At 44.7% G+C, this 17,481-nt stretch overlaps 1 long non-coding RNA gene across 9 annotated transcripts, besides 4 other annotated features; it reads left to right on the top strand.

The window, feature by feature from the left end:
* The first annotated feature begins 2,293 nt into the window (after positions 1–2,293).
* On the top strand, positions 2,294–17,313 carry LOC107984128 (uncharacterized). Of its 9 annotated transcripts, none has more exons than XR_001747624.2 (4): positions 2,294–4,094; positions 5,697–5,844; positions 6,973–7,073; positions 14,479–17,313. It is a non-coding gene; the product is annotated as an uncharacterized LOC107984128 (long non-coding RNA). The 9 variants fall into 9 exon arrangements; XR_001747630.2 differs by lacking the exon at positions 2,294–4,094 and having other exon boundaries at positions 4,102–5,844; positions 14,479–14,772; positions 15,787–17,313; XR_007062327.1 differs by lacking the exon at positions 2,294–4,094 and adding an exon at positions 13,706–13,786 and having other exon boundaries at positions 4,102–5,844.
* Positions 2,421–2,590: an enhancer, noted in NCBI's record as "experimental_10770 CRE fragment used in MPRA reporter constructs". NCBI's record gives its function as "activates a minimal promoter by MPRAs in K562 erythroleukemia cells, with activity observed for the non-introgressed 10:125726050 variant allele {active_cell/tissue: K562}" and the evidence as "EXISTENCE:reporter gene assay evidence [ECO:0000049][PMID:34662402]".
* Positions 2,421–2,756: a biological region, named in NCBI's record as "Neanderthal introgressed variant-containing enhancers experimental_10761 and experimental_10770".
* Positions 2,587–2,756: an enhancer, noted in NCBI's record as "experimental_10761 CRE fragment used in MPRA reporter constructs". NCBI's record gives its function as "activates a minimal promoter by MPRAs in K562 erythroleukemia cells, with activity observed for the introgressed 10:125725884 variant allele {active_cell/tissue: K562}" and the evidence as "EXISTENCE:reporter gene assay evidence [ECO:0000049][PMID:34662402]".
* Positions 4,982–5,151: an enhancer, noted in NCBI's record as "experimental_10754 CRE fragment used in MPRA reporter constructs". NCBI's record gives its function as "activates a minimal promoter by MPRAs in K562 erythroleukemia cells, with activity observed for both the introgressed and non-introgressed 10:125723489 variant alleles {active_cell/tissue: K562}" and the evidence as "EXISTENCE:reporter gene assay evidence [ECO:0000049][PMID:34662402]".
* Positions 17,314–17,481: the final 168 nt, after the last annotated feature.

The raw sequence follows: 17,481 nt of genomic DNA, 5'->3' as shown, positions 1-17,481 counted from the left end.
GCAGCAACAGCAAAGGTGAAAGAGGTCACCTTTGGGCTTTATTTGGGAGGTAGACCCCACAGGTTGTACTGAAGGTTGGATTAGGTGTGAGGGAAAGAGGACTCAAAAAGATGCCCTGGTTTGGACCTGAGTCATGGAGACAGGGAAGGCTCAGAGGGAAGCGGTGTGGATGGAAATGGCATTTCTCTTTTAGCTGGGTGAGTCTGGAGCACAGGAGGGATCTGGTCTGTGGGGAGAAACAGGAGGCAACTGCAGGTGGATGGCACTTTAATCCTTAGGAGTGGATGATACCAAGGAAGGGGAAAGTGTACCTGGAGCTGCAAAGAGACTAAGGCATCACCAAGCCATTCCCAGAAGTGATTAGATGACATTTGTTGTTATTTGGTGAATGGGGGCTGGACTCTCATATTAAGTCCTGTTATAGAAAAATAATACCTGTTTTGTCACCTGCTTTGTTCTGCAAAATTTGTTCTTACTACAGATGCTAGCACATGGTGGGTGTGAGCCCAGGGTCCTGGCCAGGTGAAAGCAAAATTAAACTTTCTACTGCAAATACTCAAATAACAGCAACGAACTGGAAGCCAGTCTGGCTGGAGGCTGGGATTTTATGGGTGATTAAGTTTGGGTCATTAAAAGATGCAAATCAGCTGGATTTATGATCCTCTATCACTGTCCTATGGGATCAGAGAGTCTGTTTTATGATAACTGCCAAAAGGCTTTGAAAAATACTAGACTGATTTAATGAAATTAGCAGAAGGGAAATAGACTGTTTTCTTAGCAGGATTGAAACTCCCCGTTCCGATTGTTGAGTGTTTCATTGAAGCCCTGAGTCAACCATTTGAGTATACTGGGGTAGAGGTGACCTGGATTCCAGCACTTTAACCTCCAGCCCCTAAACACTCTCCTCTCTGCCCCACTTCTGACAAAAATATGCTGCACACAAATTTTACACAATTTATGCCATGGTTTCCTTGACAGGCAGAACATACATGCAATCTTCTCGGTTTAAATACGTGGTTAGAATGAATGATGACTGTATCAGCAGCACTCTATAACTGATTTTGTGACGTGTCATTCCCAGTTTATTAGCGTGGGCTTCACGGGGGTATCTGAGAACTCAGAAGTCCACCTTTGCACGATGAGGCTGACGCCTGTGTTTGGTTCCCCGACACAGCCAGCAGGGGGCAGGCTGGACCTGGGAATGCACCGGAGCGGCTCCCCGGAGACCTGCAGTTTGCCGAGATGATCCCAAGGACGCCTGAGTCCTGAGTTCCTTCAAAGCCCCGTTCCCCACTGGCCCCTACCGGGACCCAGTTTTCTTCCCATCAGTGAGAAAAGTCTCTGGAATTCTCGGCCGGGTGGTCCAGTTCTCCCTTCCCCGCCAAAAGGGCCCTGGCCTGTTCCAGTAGCTTGTCCTGGCCAAGTTGTCCCTTGAGGGCTGGGGCTCTGGCTGGGGGGTCTGGCTTCTTCCCTCACGCTGCCCTTCAGGGCCAGCTCACTTGGTCACCGCAGCGCCTGTGTTTCAAACCAGCTCCAGGCCCGCTGAGCCCACCTGGCAGCCCTGGGCCCACCCTCCACTCTGGGTCCTGGTCCTACCTAGATAGCCTGGCCTCAACTCTTGGCTCTGCCATTTAGTAGCAACGTGACCTTGGTTCTCCACTTGGTAGTTTTGTCATCTGTAAAATGGGACTGAATGAGTTAATAATTAAGAAGTGCTTAGACGAAGGCCTAGTACGTAATCTGTGCGAGATGGATATAGATATATAAAATTTTCTTTAACTGTGGAATACTCTTATTCTACTTGAAATTTGCAGTGGCCCTCAGAATACTCTTTTATTCTGCTTGAAATTTGCAGTGGCCCTCAATCGGCAGAGGTGAGGAGGAGCCGCTGGAGCTGGGGTTGACCCACTTACCAATACTGAAACCAGGTTGTCAGCCCAGAGACAGAGCCGGCAACGCCGGCCCCTCCTAGATCCACTGGCTTCTCCTCCCAGCATATTTGGGCCGCGTTTTCTTTAAAGGAGATTTTCAGCTGTGAAGCTCTCACCCTAAATGTGCTGTGGAAGGAAAGAGGATTGAGTTTTCCTGTTGTTTCTTTCAAATGCTTAGAGGATGAGTTTCAGTCTCAGACTGGAAAAGCAAGGAAACCCTGAAACTGTATACAGATCCAGACCATTCCAGAAGCCCCTGGAGATATGCAAGGCGGCTGAGAGCTCCAGGGAGCCACAGAGCCCCCCTCACTGCTATTCCTGATGGCCCCGATGCAAGCAGTGGGCGCTCAGTGGGGGGATGGGGTGGGGGGACATGGGGCGGGTAGGCAGACACGCGATCCTCCACTTGGTTCTCAGCACAAGAAACTGGACTCTGAGCCCTACACCACACAAGGCTCTTTTGTCAGACTTCATGTCTGAGGCCAGGGTTTGCTCCCCCAGGTTCTGTGCAGGCCCCCACCTCCCCACCCCACCCCACTCCCCCTCCATCCTAGGCAGTCCATTCTTTCCAACCAAGACCACTGGAAGCAGCTCAAAGCAGCATGGGTTGGCCTATGCTGCATCTGACCGTATTTTAAGAGGCTTTTAATTCTGGAATAGTTCTAGGGTGAGTTCATTGTGTAAATTCCAATGCAAACACTTTTTGTTTTCATCATCCTCATTGTTTGGTTTCCTCTAACTCATGTAATCAGTTGAAATATTAATTACAAAAAGATGGCGGGGCATATAGAGCTGGAAGCGATTTGCTTTATCCGACAACAGAGGAGGAGACGAGCCTGGAGGGGAGAGACTTGCCCTAGATTGCCAGCCCCTGGTAGGGCTCCCTGGGCCCTACCCTTGGTTCCTGGGCTTCTGTCCTATTTGCTGACTTGCATTTCCAGTGCTGATTTCCCTGGAAGTGGCAAAGCACTGGAATGACCCGTGAACTTAGGAAGTGTCTGAATAGTGTGGAAGCCACGGTGGGAGCTTGGACCCTCTTGGAAAGGAAGCTGGAGTGGTGAGAAGCCACTGTTTGGCTGTGGGTGTGGGGCATGGAGAGGGGGCAGATTTCTCTTTCCTGCTAAGGTCATTCATCAAGGGGGGACTCCAGGGCCCCTGACCTGCTGGGGTGATGGGTGACGCTGGGACTCTCTCACCGCAGGGCTGCCTTCAGATTAGAAAGGGAAAGGGTGCTGGTAACGGCAGCTCCTCTGCTTAGCTGGAGTGACAGGCAGCCATGCAGGAGGGCTGCAGCTGGGGTCAGCCCATGCAGTGATTCCCTGGTGGTCCTTGGGCAAATCAAACCTCCTTCCCCATCTACAGACAGAAGGGGGATAGGCTCAGACTTGTTTTACAGGCTTGTTGTAGTGATAAAATAAAGTCTGTGAGAGCAACATCTGACATATGCCAGCGGAGGGTGCCCAGGGGGCATGTGGCTCACCCTGAGCAGTGGCCGTGGCACAGGCTGGGGTGTCTGCCGCTGGGGAGGCGAGAGAGCAGAGCGGTGCTGCAGTGGCTGTCCCAGCTGGGGGAGTAGGAACCTCTGCTGGAGGTGGAGCTGTGTGTCCCCGTGAACTCACTGGGTGACTTTTGGTTCTTCGCCCAGAGCTCCAGCATCACCAATGAGTGGGCCTGCCCTTTCTTCCCAAACTCTGAGACTTGGGCGAACACTTGATCTTCTGGGACTCTGCTTCATCCTTTGATGGAGTTCGTGCCCATTGGGTTGGTTAGAGTGAGGAATAAAAGGATCCTGTCACTAAGTGCTTTGCACAGTGAGCCATCATCTGCCAGTCCAATGTGGGGAGAATATGCCAGGGGGAGATGAGGGCAGGAGCCTCACGTAGGGTGTGAGCCAGGCAGTGGCTCAGAGCAAACTGAGAAGGTCCTTCCAGCCCTGGATTCATGTCTCCATGGAAACCTGCTCTTGCCAGAGAGTCCGCCCAGCCCAGGCCCCCCTCCTCCAGGGCTGGTGGGTTCTTCAGCTGGAGCTCCAGCATCACCGATGAGTGGGCCTGCCCTTTCTTCCCAAACTCAGAGAACTGGAATGGGTTTCCTTACCTGGGACCTGCAGTTGACTGGGGAATGGAATCCAGGATTCTGAGTGCAGAAGTTTCCAGATTCAGGGTAAGCTGGGTGCCTGGCCGCTTCTATGTGCAGGGAGAACAGACCCTTCCCTGTCCCCCCATGGTGCTGAGGTTGTGTTTAGTGAGAATGTGACGAATTGGGCACTAGGTGTGAGCAGAAGCTTGTAAATAACCAGGGCCTTTCCAGAAGGTCTATATTGATCTCAGAGATGCAGTGTTTGGAGGTCCCGGCATGGACTCCTCAAATGCCCCCATTCCCTGCATTTTTTTCATACTAAGCTGTGAAGGTCAGACTAAGCCATGAAGGTCAGAATCTGTGATTAGTGGGTGAATGGCCTCCCTTAAATAGCCATGGCCCAGCTAGGTATGATTCTGTCTGGGTGGCAGAAAGAGCCTTGAGTCAGGAGGCCAGGGATGAGTCTGGCTTCAAAACCTCTGACCCCAGCCTCGTACCCTCACTCTGCCTGTCTGTTTCTCGGCTGTAAGCTGGTGATAGCATGGCCAAGGCTCTGAACCCAGCTTCTGCCCTACTTCTGTCTGCCTGATTCTCCCTTTTCCTTTTCCTCTCCTTGTCCCTCTCTCCATCTTCCCTGCCAGAAGCAGGGCTGGCTGCCCTCTCAGTCAGGGTGTGCAAGGCCCCCAGGGAGGCGACTGTGGGTGCATGCATGCATGCGTGTGGGGGTTTTATGTGGCAGTGTCTCTAAGATTGGGTTTGGGGTTCATGAGATTATTTTCCAAAATTAGAAAGCAAATGTATGTGGGGAGGAAGGAGGTGCTGCCAGAGGGCATGTCTAGCTGTCTCTTTTGGAAATTAAGGAAGAGGAGGTCTAGTTTGGCCCCTAAAGTCATACTTCCCCTTGGGGCTGCAGTTTTTAATCTGATATCATTAACCAAAGTCACTGCAAAGCTCCTCCCAGGGCTTTGATTTGAGGTGAGTGGGAGCCCCCTGTCTTCTTGGGGGTTGGGTGATTGTTGGATGACATCAGAGAAGCCCAGTGTTCCAGGTCAGAGCCTTACTCTCCCTGCAGGCTCCCCACCTCTGTCCACCAGAGGATTTCCTGTCGCGTCTGTTTGCTTATTGCTTCTCAGATAAGTTTTCATTTGAAACAGTGGTCTGAGGCTCTAAATCATTTGAAAGTCTTCTCTCCCAGTGTTCAGACAATTCCCCTGGTTCTAACATTTGGTGATTCTGCAAGAAGCCTTCATGCTAGGGCAAACAACTCTCCCACTTTGCCCAGCGCCGTGGGGTTTCTGGACATGGGACTTCTAGTGCTGAAAGTCCCAGGAAAACCAGGCCAATTGTTCATCCTCTCACATTCTCACTTGAGTAGCTTATATTTTGAGCCATGCTTGTTTAGAGAAGGGAAAGACACCATTTAGAAAGCCCCTTCAATGCCTAAGTGTCAAGAAAAATGGGATCCATCACCTAGTCGAATAGTAACACTGGATGAGAAGGGAGGGAAGCTGGTGCCCATATGTTTTGAAAAAGCAGCATTTACTTTAACTTTGAAATCTCAGAGCAGTCCCCAGGCAGGATGGGAAGCCAATGGGGCCAGGGCTGGTGCAGCTGATGGGATCTGAAGGGAAAGAAGAGCTTTTAAAAAGGAGAATTTCACACTGAATCTCTTAATCTGTTTTACAGACTCATAAAATCTTAATATAGCCCCGAGACTGTCATGTTTACAGACAGTGCAGCAAAGGCAGTGGCTTGGAGTGTGACCAGAGAGTTTGCAGAACAAACGCACCAGGGAGGGGCTTGGATGGAAATAACCAAGCGCTCTCCCCGCAGGGTAAGGCAGGACAGCCGGGCAGCCCCCGTCTGGTTCCCCCAACTGTGAGCAGAACGCTGGGCTACAATCTAGGCTGAAGCTTCAGTGTACTGGCTTTTAGCAAAAAGCCCCCATACTGCTCCTGGGGCAGAGGATGGTAAGATGCCAACTCCTGACACATCCATGACAGTGTGTGATGCAGGTGGAGCTCCAGTCCAGTGGACACACCTGTGATAGATTTGAGAACGCCTGGAGGTTGGAGGTTGCTGAGAACCCAGTGTTGCTAAGAGGGTCACAGGCACTCAGAAGACAGGGAGGTTCCGGTGGGCTTCCTGGAGAGGGGCCCTGGGCTGGGCTCCACAGCATCTGGGAAGGCAGAGGGCATTTCTGGGGGAGAGGGCATGAGCAAGTACGGGGAGGCTGGATGGGCACAGCACAGGTGAGGGCAGCAGAGGCAGCACCTGGAGAGAGGGCTTTTGTTGGGGGAACGGTGAGAGATAAGCTCACCCTAGTCCTGGCTTTGGAGATGAGAAGAAGAAACAAAAATGAAGCAAAATACTTGTCACTGTAGAGGAGCTTACAGTCCAGACGACCTGGGAGAAATGAATTTGAAAACAAAGGAAGATTTAGGAGCTGCGCCTGTCAATGTCAAGGTCCAGCCTGAGCCATGGAAAAAGAATAGAATTGGAGTAAGCCCTGCTGGAGGGCAGACGTCTTCTTCTCTCTGTACTCCCTGCCCATCCCAGGAATCTGGACACTGGCGTACTTCCGTGTTAACATAACGGCTTTAAAATTTTTCCCGTTATGAGCTTTAAAGAAGTAATTTCCAAATATTGGTCTTTGTGGAAAAAATGAGAAAAGAATCAAGTTTCCCTGGTCTAAGACTAAATGTGAAAAGTAAAGAAAATATAGTGAGTTTTTTTTTTTTATAAAGCCAAGCTTATTTAATTTGGAGTATCCTTTACACAGAGATGATGCTGTTCCTATATTTTTGTGTTCAGCTGGCTTTCTTTAATGGAATCATGGCCTGTGAATTAAAATTAAAAGTATTGGTTTCTGAAACCCTAAAGGCTGGGAACTACTGTTTTAATGGCTGATTGTCTCCATTTCTAAAATATATATCAATATATTTTGACATATGGACACTAGGCGTCAGGAAGACAGAAGAAGCTGGACAGAAAGAGATCAAGATTTAACTGGTTATGCTGTAGACCATGGCAGATCGTAACAGAAGACAAAGCCCTTAAAAGGTAAACCTCCTTGGCTCTGTTCCCTGGAAGAGGTGGGTTATTATGTTGATGGGAGGTGGGTACAAATTGGGAGGGATTTGGATGATGCTATAAGATTGGAAGCTACGAAATTTTTGTGAATGTTTATTTCTTTGAGCTAGGCTTGGGATGGGGAAGACTCTTCTCTCCTTTGTTCCAGACATGAGTGAGATCAGAAAGTCTCCTAGACAACAAGAGCTGGCCCCCTCTGACACTTCTGTGTCACACTCCGTCTGAGCTTTCTCTGGTCTTGCCCTTTTCCTAGGGTTAGAGTCCAAAAGCCAAGTTGACATGCCAACTTGGAGCTCATGCCTGTGTAGGGGAGGAAAATAATTTCTCTCTACTTTTCATAGTTTTTAGTTGGGACAGACCCCTGTAACAAAAGACAGATTAACAAGAGAAAAACAGAAGTTTAATAACAAGTATACCCTCATGCATAGATGGGAGGTACTCAGAAAAATGAATGAATCTCAAAGAGGTGGCTTGGAATTCAGGCTTAAAAACTATTGTCTATGGAAACTAAGAAACAAGGGCATGGGGAAGGCTGGTTATGGGAAGAAAAAGCACAGTAAACAAAGAGTAATGTTTGTATTTGCAGATCTGAGTCAGCGCCTTCTCCATTGATAAGAGTCTTTAGTGATTTGAGTCCTGGTACAGAGAGGGAGACACTCTTACAGATGGAGATTTCACCTTTTATAGATATAAATTTCCCTTACACAAAGGTAGCTGCCACTTTGTTTTCAGAGCATCTTTTGTGTCTGTAGCTTCTCAAAATAATAAGCTCAAAATAAGTCTTAAGCCAAAGAGGCATACTTTGGAGTAGCATTTTCTGGTCTCCTACACCTCTGCCTTCTAGACAATGCTCCAATTCCTGGAACATTGGAAAGCCCCATCCAAATGACCCTGTGTTAGTCTGAGTTCTCCAGAGAAACAGAACCAATAGGTTACACACCCACATATTTAAATGTATATATATTATATAAGAAGCATTTATTATAAACACTTTATTATAAGGAAGTGGCTCACGTAGTTATAGAGGTTGAGATATCCTAAGATCTTCAGTTGGCAAAGTGGAGACCCAGGAGATCCAATGGTATAGTTCCAGTTTGAGTCTGAAGGTCTGAAAATGAGGAGATCCAGTGGTGTACATTCCATCCAAGTCCAAGTCTAAATCCATAGGTGGGAGAAGACCAACTTCCCAGCTAGAAGGCAGTCAGACAGAGGAGAGAGAATTCTCCCTTACTTGGCCATTTGTTCTGTTCAGGCCTTCAATGGATTGAATGCAGCCCACTCACACTGGGGAGGGCAGTCTACTTAGTTTACTGATTCAAATGTTTATCTCATCCAGAAACACCCTGATAGACCCACCCAGAATAATGTTTAACCAAATATCTGAGCAGCCTGTGGCCAGCCAAAGTGATACATTAAAATTAACCATTACAAGCTCCAAGGCACTTCCAGGGCCTGTGCTGGCTTTCTTCCTGGGTTCCTCTTCCTCAGGTGGGCCACACAATTGGATGAGTACGTCTAGGCCCAAAGTTGGGCCAAGGGGGGATATTTGTGGGGATGGGGAGAAGAGCTTTCATATAAGGGCCTAGAGAGTGAATATAGGTGTTCACAACTGGTCCAGGGTGGGCCAGTATGAAAAAAAGGGACAGGCTAGGGGCCAACTGTTGCTGCACTGCCTGTTTCAGTGCAAAACTCCAAGCAGTCCGATAATTCTAAATTTGAACTTAAGTTTCCAGGTTGTTATGAAAGTATAATTATCATTGTAGGAGGAGGGAATGTATTTAACAGCTTGTTTGCTTGATTTATAACTTTTGAATATTTAGACATATGGTATGTGGGTGTCCATTTGTACACTTGCCCAGGCCCTCTAAGGGTCCTGTCTGTGTGGATGGGGTCCTGATATTGTAAAATTATACATTAGAGGGTATTGGGGGTTGTTCAGAGGGGCTTGTTCAGATAGGGTTGATATTTCCTTTGGGCCTTGAATACAGCAGGATTTTGAAGTTCAGTGAGGGTAGGACTAGTGTGGTAGACTCTGATTAAAGTGTACACCTTGAAAACCAGATAGAAGTGACATTCAGTTAAATATGGCAGACTGAACACGTGAATTTCCTTCTACCCCCACCCCAAATCCCACCAAAAAGACAGTAAAGGAATTAAAGGGAGCACAAACTCTTAAGGACAAATAGAAAGTGAGTGGAATAACAACAGGATGTTTTGGGAACTGGACAGTGGATGAATGAGTGTCTTAGTCTGTTCAGCTGCCATAACAACATACATTAGACTGAGTAATTTATAAACAATACAAATTTATTGTTCATAGTTCTGGAGGCTGGGAAGTCCAAGATAAAGGCACCAGCAGATTCAGTGGCTGAGGAGGGCCTGTTCCACATAGATGGCACACTCTGTGTCCTAACATGGTGAAATGGGCAAGCAGGCTTGCTCAGATCTCTTTCATGGGGCACTCAGATCTCTTTCATGAGGGCACTAATTCTTTTCAGGAGAGTGGAGCCTTTGTGACCTAATCACCTCCTAAAGGCCCCAACTCTTAGTACTATCACACTGGGTATTAGGTTCCAACATATGAATTTGCAGGAACACATACATTCAGACCATAGCAAGAGAGTAAATGATTAACTGACAAGAGAAAGTCGGCAGGATCCCTAGTGTGGTGACCAGTGGTGGTGAAAGCAGGAGGACTGTGGAATTTGGAATACAAAGTCTGTGGAGGAAATAGACCTCAAGATTCCCTGCTTCCCTTTGAGGAATGGGCACCTGACTCTTCTGCTATCCTGCAGAAGACTGGAGGTCTGCTTTCCAGAGAGACTGAGGAGAGGGACCTTGGTCTCAGGGAGCAGGCAAGAGAGGAGAGGCACACTGAAATACAGGATTAGGTGCAGGTTTTCCTAAAATGAGATGTCAGCCCCTTTTCTGCTCTGTCTTCAAATGTGTGACTCTCCTAGGCAGGAGTGTGGAGGTTACCCCATGAAGAGAGTTATCAACTCAAGAGAAAGACCCCCACCAAGTTGTCAACTGCTTCAAGTTCCCTTTAGGAAATGGTCTTAAATCCCTGCATGAATGGTAATCTTTTAGTGTATCCCTCTTGACTGTAAACCACAGTCAAAGCCCATTCGACATTTGAAGAGAATGAAAGACAGAGACCAACCATGGCCCCATAATTGTTACAGTGAAATTATTCAATACAGTAGAGGATCAGTTGATGAGTCAGACTCCTGAACAATTGCTCTGGACAAATGTCCTTGGAAGGTACACTCTATGTGTCCTAATGTGGTGAAATGGGCAAGCTGGTAAAGACAGATTTTGATTCTTAAGGTATGAGTATACTCTGTGAAGCTGGGTTAGAGTTCCAGGCTTCTTTTCAAGGGTACTTCCTTAGCTGGGACGTCTTTTTCCTGGCTCCTTGCTCTGAGTTGGAATTATTCCCTGACTCCCTGGGCTGGAAGTCTTTCTTCCTGACTCTCTGTGAGGCCTCCCCGTTCTGTTTATTCTTTCTGTTCTCTCTACTGGATCCTGCTTCTCTCACTGGAATGATTCTGTCACCAGAAGCTCCTTTCTTTGAACCCCTGCTGACTAGATGCTCTGCCAACTCTGGTTACCTTTGCCAGATCCTTTCCCTTCCCACTCCTGCCCCTGAGTCAATTGAATTTTAGCCTCTCTACCCTCCAGGGGCTCATAAGGGACACAGGGCCCCTCAAAAGCAAGCACCTGAGGCTGAAAAGAGAAAAAGAAAGGACTATTTGGAAATTGGGCAAATGAAAAAATCTTAAAATCTTCTCCACAAATATTGGTAAAAAGCCTTAACCCTTGTTGAGTAGGTAAATTCAACTTGTCTTATTTTCATCAGAAACACAATCTGGATAAAAATATAAAGTGAAGATAAACCAGTGAGTTTGTATGACTCTGTTTTACTACCTCATTACTAAAATTTTTTAAAAATGGAAAGCCATAAGATCTAGTTGCATCTCTTTGTATGTTTCTGGATGTGTACATGTATGATCTATGTTTATATGTTATATATATGTGATCTTTTTCTACCTCCAATGGCATTACCCAACCAATATGCTAAAATTGGCTTAGGGATAAATGAATGCTCAAACAAATTAAGTTTTCATAGAATTCTCAGAAAATTAGAAACTGACTCAATTTTTTTTTTAAGTTCATGTGCTCTGGAATAATCCTTGTTAAACAAAAGCTAGTTTAAAAATTACTGATCAAATAAAGATAGGACTGTCTTCAGAATTGTCAGCACTGAATATCATACAGACATAAATTTTTGCCTGGTTCTCTGGTCAGAGAGGTCTGTGTTGTCTCTGCTGGATGTTTAAGGACATAAAACTATAAATACAACCTTAGAGTAGAATGCACAGTAAAAATGAATTGCTTAATTGCTTAATGAGTATCAGTAATAGAAGTAAAAAAAAGGTTATAAAAGCATTGTGAAAATTTTATCTTGTATGGTCAAAGTTAACTAAGATTGAATAGATTCATTTATAAGGTTTATTAAAATAAGTTTCAGCACTACATTGACACAAAAGTAGATTTTGGTCTTCTCTGTTAAAATGACAGGATTTTCTCAGAGTAATGGTTTGAGAATATGAAGGGTTTTTCCTTATCTTTTAAGTAAACAAATATTTTATGTTTTATTAAGATATTTTCTTGTGTTTCATTATTGTCTTTTATTAAGTATTTGATTACTTAAGATAAGTGCATTTTCTCAATATTAAGAGTTAAGGTTTTATTGATAACTATGTAAACTTCTGTATTTACCTCTTGAAGTCTTTTAATTATTACTCTGTTTAAATGAGTGACTCTTACTTCAAAGTGACCTGTGATCCTATTTTGATGAAGCATTTTAAACTTTTTGACATTGAAAAAAATTTCCCATTATCAAATTCTAAATTAAGTCTTTTTGGCCTTGAATTAACATTGGGATTTTTTAAATTGGGCTCCTGGAAAAGCTCAAAAGATGTGTCTCTGATTTTGTAAAAGAGAGAGGCTAAACTAACTAGACTTATTTGATGTTAAGTTATATGGGAAGCATTGTCAGATAAGTGATTCGAAACTTTCTTTAAGTAATTTTTAAGAGACATAGTCTTGCTCTGTTGTCACCTGGGCTGGAGTGCAGGGATGTGATCATTGCTCACTGTAACCTCAGATGCCTGGGCTCAAGGGATCCTCCCTTGTCAGCCTTCTGAGTAGCTAGGACTGCAGGTGTGCACCACCATGACTGGCTATTTTTTTTTTTTTTTTTTTGTAGACACAGGGTCTCACTATGTTGCCCAGGCTGGTCTTGAGCTCTTGGCCTCAAGTGATCCTCCTGCCTCAGCCTCCAAAAGGTCTGGGATTATAGGCATGAGCCACTGTGCCTGGCCTATGGGTATGTTATCAATATGAATGTTTTAAAAATTGTGTGAGATGTCTAGAAATCTCATATTCTATCAGTCATAATTTTGGCTATGTTAAATTGTTGTATTCCACTGAAAGAACCAAATTTCTTTGTGAGTTGCATCATTATAATAATAATAATAATGAACTCTCATGCTATTTTTAACCATGGCCATTCTAAGTCTTTGTCATCCACAGTTGTTTTTTTTTGTTGTTTTTTTTGAGGTGGAGTTTTGCTCTTCTTGCCCAGGCTGGAGTGCAATGGCACAATCTCGGCTTACCACAACCTCCCCCTACCATGTTCAAGTGATTCTCCTGCCTCAGCCTCCCAAGTAGCTGGGATTACAGGCATGCACCACCATGCCTGGCTAATTATCTATTTTTAGTAGAGACACGGTTTTTCCATGTTGGTCAGGCTGATCTTGAACTCCCAATCTCAGGTGATCCGCCCGCCTCGGCCACCCAAAGTGCTGGGATTACAGGCATGAGCCACCGCGCCTGGCCTCACAGTTATTGTTTTTATTCTTCTCTGAAATTATTTGCAATCAGCTACAGTCCAAAATTTCTTTTTCAAGGAGTTTCATGGAAAAGACTCTGACAAGTACTCTAGAACACAGGTTTCTCAAAACTTTAAGATCATACCATTGGTCTGAGTAAGAATTTCCAGAACTCTGGTGAAGAAACTCATGGGTTCATGAAACAACCATTTCAATATCAAGCAGAACACAAAGTAATTACATGGGACTGAATAAACTGATGAGGATACTTTTTAATGACTTTTTATTTAAAACATTGCTTGCTTTAATTGTTTTGTTGTCCAGATTTAAGCAAACTTTTTAAAAAAAGCTATCTGTAGATTGCAACGATTTGATAAAGTATACTTTTGTGAACAAAAATGGGGTTTCTCCCTCCTTGATCCATCCAGAATTCAGAAACTATTTGTAAGTATTCTTATGTTTATGGAAATATAGTTATTTGCATAAGTTAAATAAGAATCTGTCCTCCTTATAACAGGACACAATTGGAAGCACTGGATATATTACAAGGCTTTGACTGGAATGCCATATTTTCAGATATGACCAGACAGCTTTAAGGAACTAAGGTTGACTTTATGGAGCCAATAAGCCATGCCCATCTTAATAAAACTGGCTTGAGGGTTCCAGCCTTACAGGCAAATAAGGAATATCCCTTCTTGGCAGGCACAGAAACCTCAGGATATTCAGGGACCTCAAGAAGAGAGGAATTCACTCAAATCTAAATGTAACAGATGAAGCATGATGGTAGGTCATTGGTTTGGCTTCATATCCTAAAGAGGCTTTCAGAAGTCTAATCTGAGGTTCCTTACCAAAAGTTCTAGCAAAGCAGACTGAACAAGAGCCTAAGTGGTCAGTCACTATTCTTGCTGCATTTGTGTAAATAATAGACTTAAACTTATTGTTTTGCAAATGAATTAGTCTTTCTTTGATTATCTTTGGTAAAAATGGGGGTGACTATAGGGAGAAAAATTGTTTCAGAAGAAAACTATAGTGTACCTAATATTTGATTCTAGCCCTGTTCATTTTTTTGAGGTTTTATTATCCACATGTAGTTTGGACTGGATCCTGAGTTCTCCCAGTTTCGCCCAATATCTGACTATGACTTTCCAAACTAATGTTTCCAATTTTCTCTCATCTTTCTGGCTTGGGATCACTGCTGTTTTCCTAATGCCCTGTAAGCTAAAGCTGAGCAACTTTCTATTAAACTTTGGAGGAACCACCAACCACAACAGCTTACGTATGGACAACCTTCATGACATCCAAACTGCAAACCTGGAAAATCCGTTAGATTGCTACTGCCCTCCCAGTGCCTTGCTACAGCTGAAGATACTTCAGGGCCAGCATCTAGAAATCTTTACTGGCTGCCCTATGGACTCAGAAAGCGAGTTTATGGTTTGTTCTTACTATTAACATTTATTTTTCTTTTATTTTTATAGAAATGAAACTATCCTCATTAAAGGCCTGATGGCTCACACCATCCAGGAGATCTCCTCTGCTACCAACTCCCAGCAGCTGATTCAGCGGTCCTTCATGAACAATAGGCAACTGAACAAGAAAATGAGTTTATATTGTTCAAAAGAAAGAAGAATGCCTCTTTTTTCCCTTGAACAAGGGAGGTGGAGACTAACAAAAGATTCTTTGCTTGACCAAACTTTAGTCAGGCTTCTAAATCTTCCCCTCGGCCCGTCTGTGCACTTCCTTGTGAAATCCAGTTTTAGCAAAGAACATTTGTAAGTCAGTTTAGCAAGAACCCACCTCCCCACCCCCATCCTCAATATCTGATCAGGTTGCTCAGTTGCCATCATCCCCCAGGTGATGTCTGATTACCCTAGCCTGTCTTCAGCAAGAATTCTGTTAGGTCAGTTCAGCCAGAATCTCCCTTAACTCTTATGTTTCCTCTCAGTAATTTTTTTATTTTTATTTTATTATTATTTTTTTGAGACAGAGCCTCCCTCTGTCACCCAGGCTGGAGTGCAGTGGCACGATCTTGGCTCACTGCAACTTCTGCCTCCTGAGTTCAAGTGATTCTTGTGCCTCAGCCTCCTAAGTGGCTGGGACCATAGGTGTGTGTTGCCATACCCAGCTAATTTTTTTTTTCCTCAAGACGGAGTCTTGCTCTGTCGCCAAGGCTGGAGTGCAATGGCGCAATCTCAGCTCACTGCAACTTCTGCCTCTTGGGTTCAAGCAATTCTCCTGCCTCAGCCTGCCGAGTAGCTGGGATTACAGGTGCTCGCCACCACGCCCATCTAATTTTTTGTATTTTTAGTAGAGACTAAAAATAGTCTCTAGACCATGTTGGCCAGGCTGGTCTTGAACTCCTGACTTTGTGATCTGCCCACCTCGGCCTCCCAAAGTGCTAGGATTACAGGCATGAGCCACTGTGCCCACCCGGTGCCCAGCTGATTTTTTATATTTTTAGTAGAGACTGGGTTTTGCCATGTTGCCCAGGCTGGTCTTGAACTCCTGAGCTCAGGGCAATCTGCCTGCCTCGGCCTCTCAGAGTGCTAGGATTACAGGTATGAGCCACCGTGCCCGGCCTTCTTCTTAGTAATTTTCTATCCACTGACCCCCACACTCTTCATGGCTATAAATTCCTATATAATTGCATAAATTCTACGCAATCTCTCTCCCCAACTCTGAGACCCCATTGCAGTGGTACCCTATAACTATGTCAATGGCCCTGAATAAAGTCTTCCTTACCATGCTTTAACAAGTATTATTGAACACATTTTCTTTAACAACAGCAAGAAAAAAGCAAAGCAGGAAAGGGATGTAAGAAAGAGTGAGATGAATAACACACTTCCAAGAGGGAGGGCTCAAAGAAGGAAAAGGAAAGATCAAATGAGTTCCTTATATCCCAAAAGAAACTGCAGACGCAACGGACCAACAAACTGAGCTCAACTGAACTCTGTAAGTTTCAAGCAGAGATTCTGTGACAACAGAGAGATGAAAGGCAAGTTGAGGAAACAAATGGAAGAAAAAGATAAAACATTACAGTGACGGGAACCACGTTCAAAGCCACACAACCCTGAAAGCACAAGTTTGACAAAATTGTGCAAAACAAACTGGCACAAAAAACATGCAAGATTGATCGTAAAGAAGATGTAAATGGCAGGCAAAGGGCAACTGGTTTTTCCAAGAAGAGAACAGAATGGATGAAACTGAAAAGGCATTCAAGGAACCATGGGAAGCTGACTTTTCAGAAGGAGGACATGGACTTCCAATTCAACTGAGCACGTTGTATCCCAGAAAGAGAAACATAGACAGAGTGACCCATGCTGAAGCATAACTATGGTTAGCTTCTGAACACAGTGACAAAGGCAGAATCCTATCAACCAAAAAGCCAAAGGAAACCAAAGCACAAATTCCCCCACAGCATTCAGCACCCGAGGATGGTGGCCACAATCTACAGTTTGGGGGAAAGGAAATGTGGATCAGCAGACCCTGGCACGTATAAAGACCACACACAGATGGCTTTACACGTGTGGGCACTCAGGGCGGACAGTTCCTAAAAGCCGTTTTTGACAGAACACTGAGGAATCAAACTGTAGATCTTAGGAACAAGGAACTGTGCTGAAAACGAATGACAGTGAACACAGAATCCATTCTATTTTGGAATTAAGACCCCAGTAACTAGTGAAATTGTGTTATAAAACAGAGAGTAACTCTTATAAACATGGCCGGTGTAAATCATGATGTCATCACCAAATCGGAAAAGGAGGTGAGGGAACGCTGGCACTTCCCTCATCTTTCAGAGCAGGAAGTAAAACTTGAAACATGCAGTCATATCAAAATCCAATAACCTTGAATAATCACTCTTTGTCTACCCTTTTCTCCCCTTGACTTTGAAGGGATCATTTGGTCCTTTTTATATTGCTTGAATTTGTTTTTTTCATTGATGCATAATATTCATACATATTTGTGAGGTACATATAATGATATGGTTTGGATCTGTGTCCTCGCCCAAATCTATTGTAATCCCCGGTGTTGGAGGTGGGTCTTGGTGGAAGTGATTTGATTATTGGGGTGGATTTCCCCCGTGTACTGCCCTCATTATAGTGAGTGAGTTCTCATGAGAGCTGGTTGTTCAAAAGTATGTGGCACTTCCCCCTTGCTCTTGGTCCTGCTCCTGTCACATAAGACGCCGGCTCTCATTCACCTTCTGCCATGACTAGAAGCTCCCTGAGGCCTCCCCAGAAGCAGATGCTGCCATGCTTCCTGTACAGCCTGCAGAACTGTGAGCCAATTAAAGCTCTTTTCCTTAAAAATTACCCCATCTCAGGTATTTCCTTATAGCAATGTGAGAACGGCTTAATACATGTAATATTTTGTTAGGTGCATGGAATGTGGAGTGACCAAGTCAGGGTATTTGGGGTATCCATCACCTCAAGTATTTATTTCTGTATTCTGGGGATATTTCAAGACCTTTCTTGTAGCTA

This window comes from Homo sapiens, chromosome 10 (genome assembly GCF_000001405.40).
Source record: "Homo sapiens chromosome 10, GRCh38.p14 Primary Assembly".
NCBI classification, from domain to species: Eukaryota; Metazoa; Chordata; class Mammalia; order Primates; family Hominidae; genus Homo; species Homo sapiens.
Note: the sequence above shows the minus strand (reverse complement) of the source record. Positions and strands in the feature narration are given on the sequence as shown.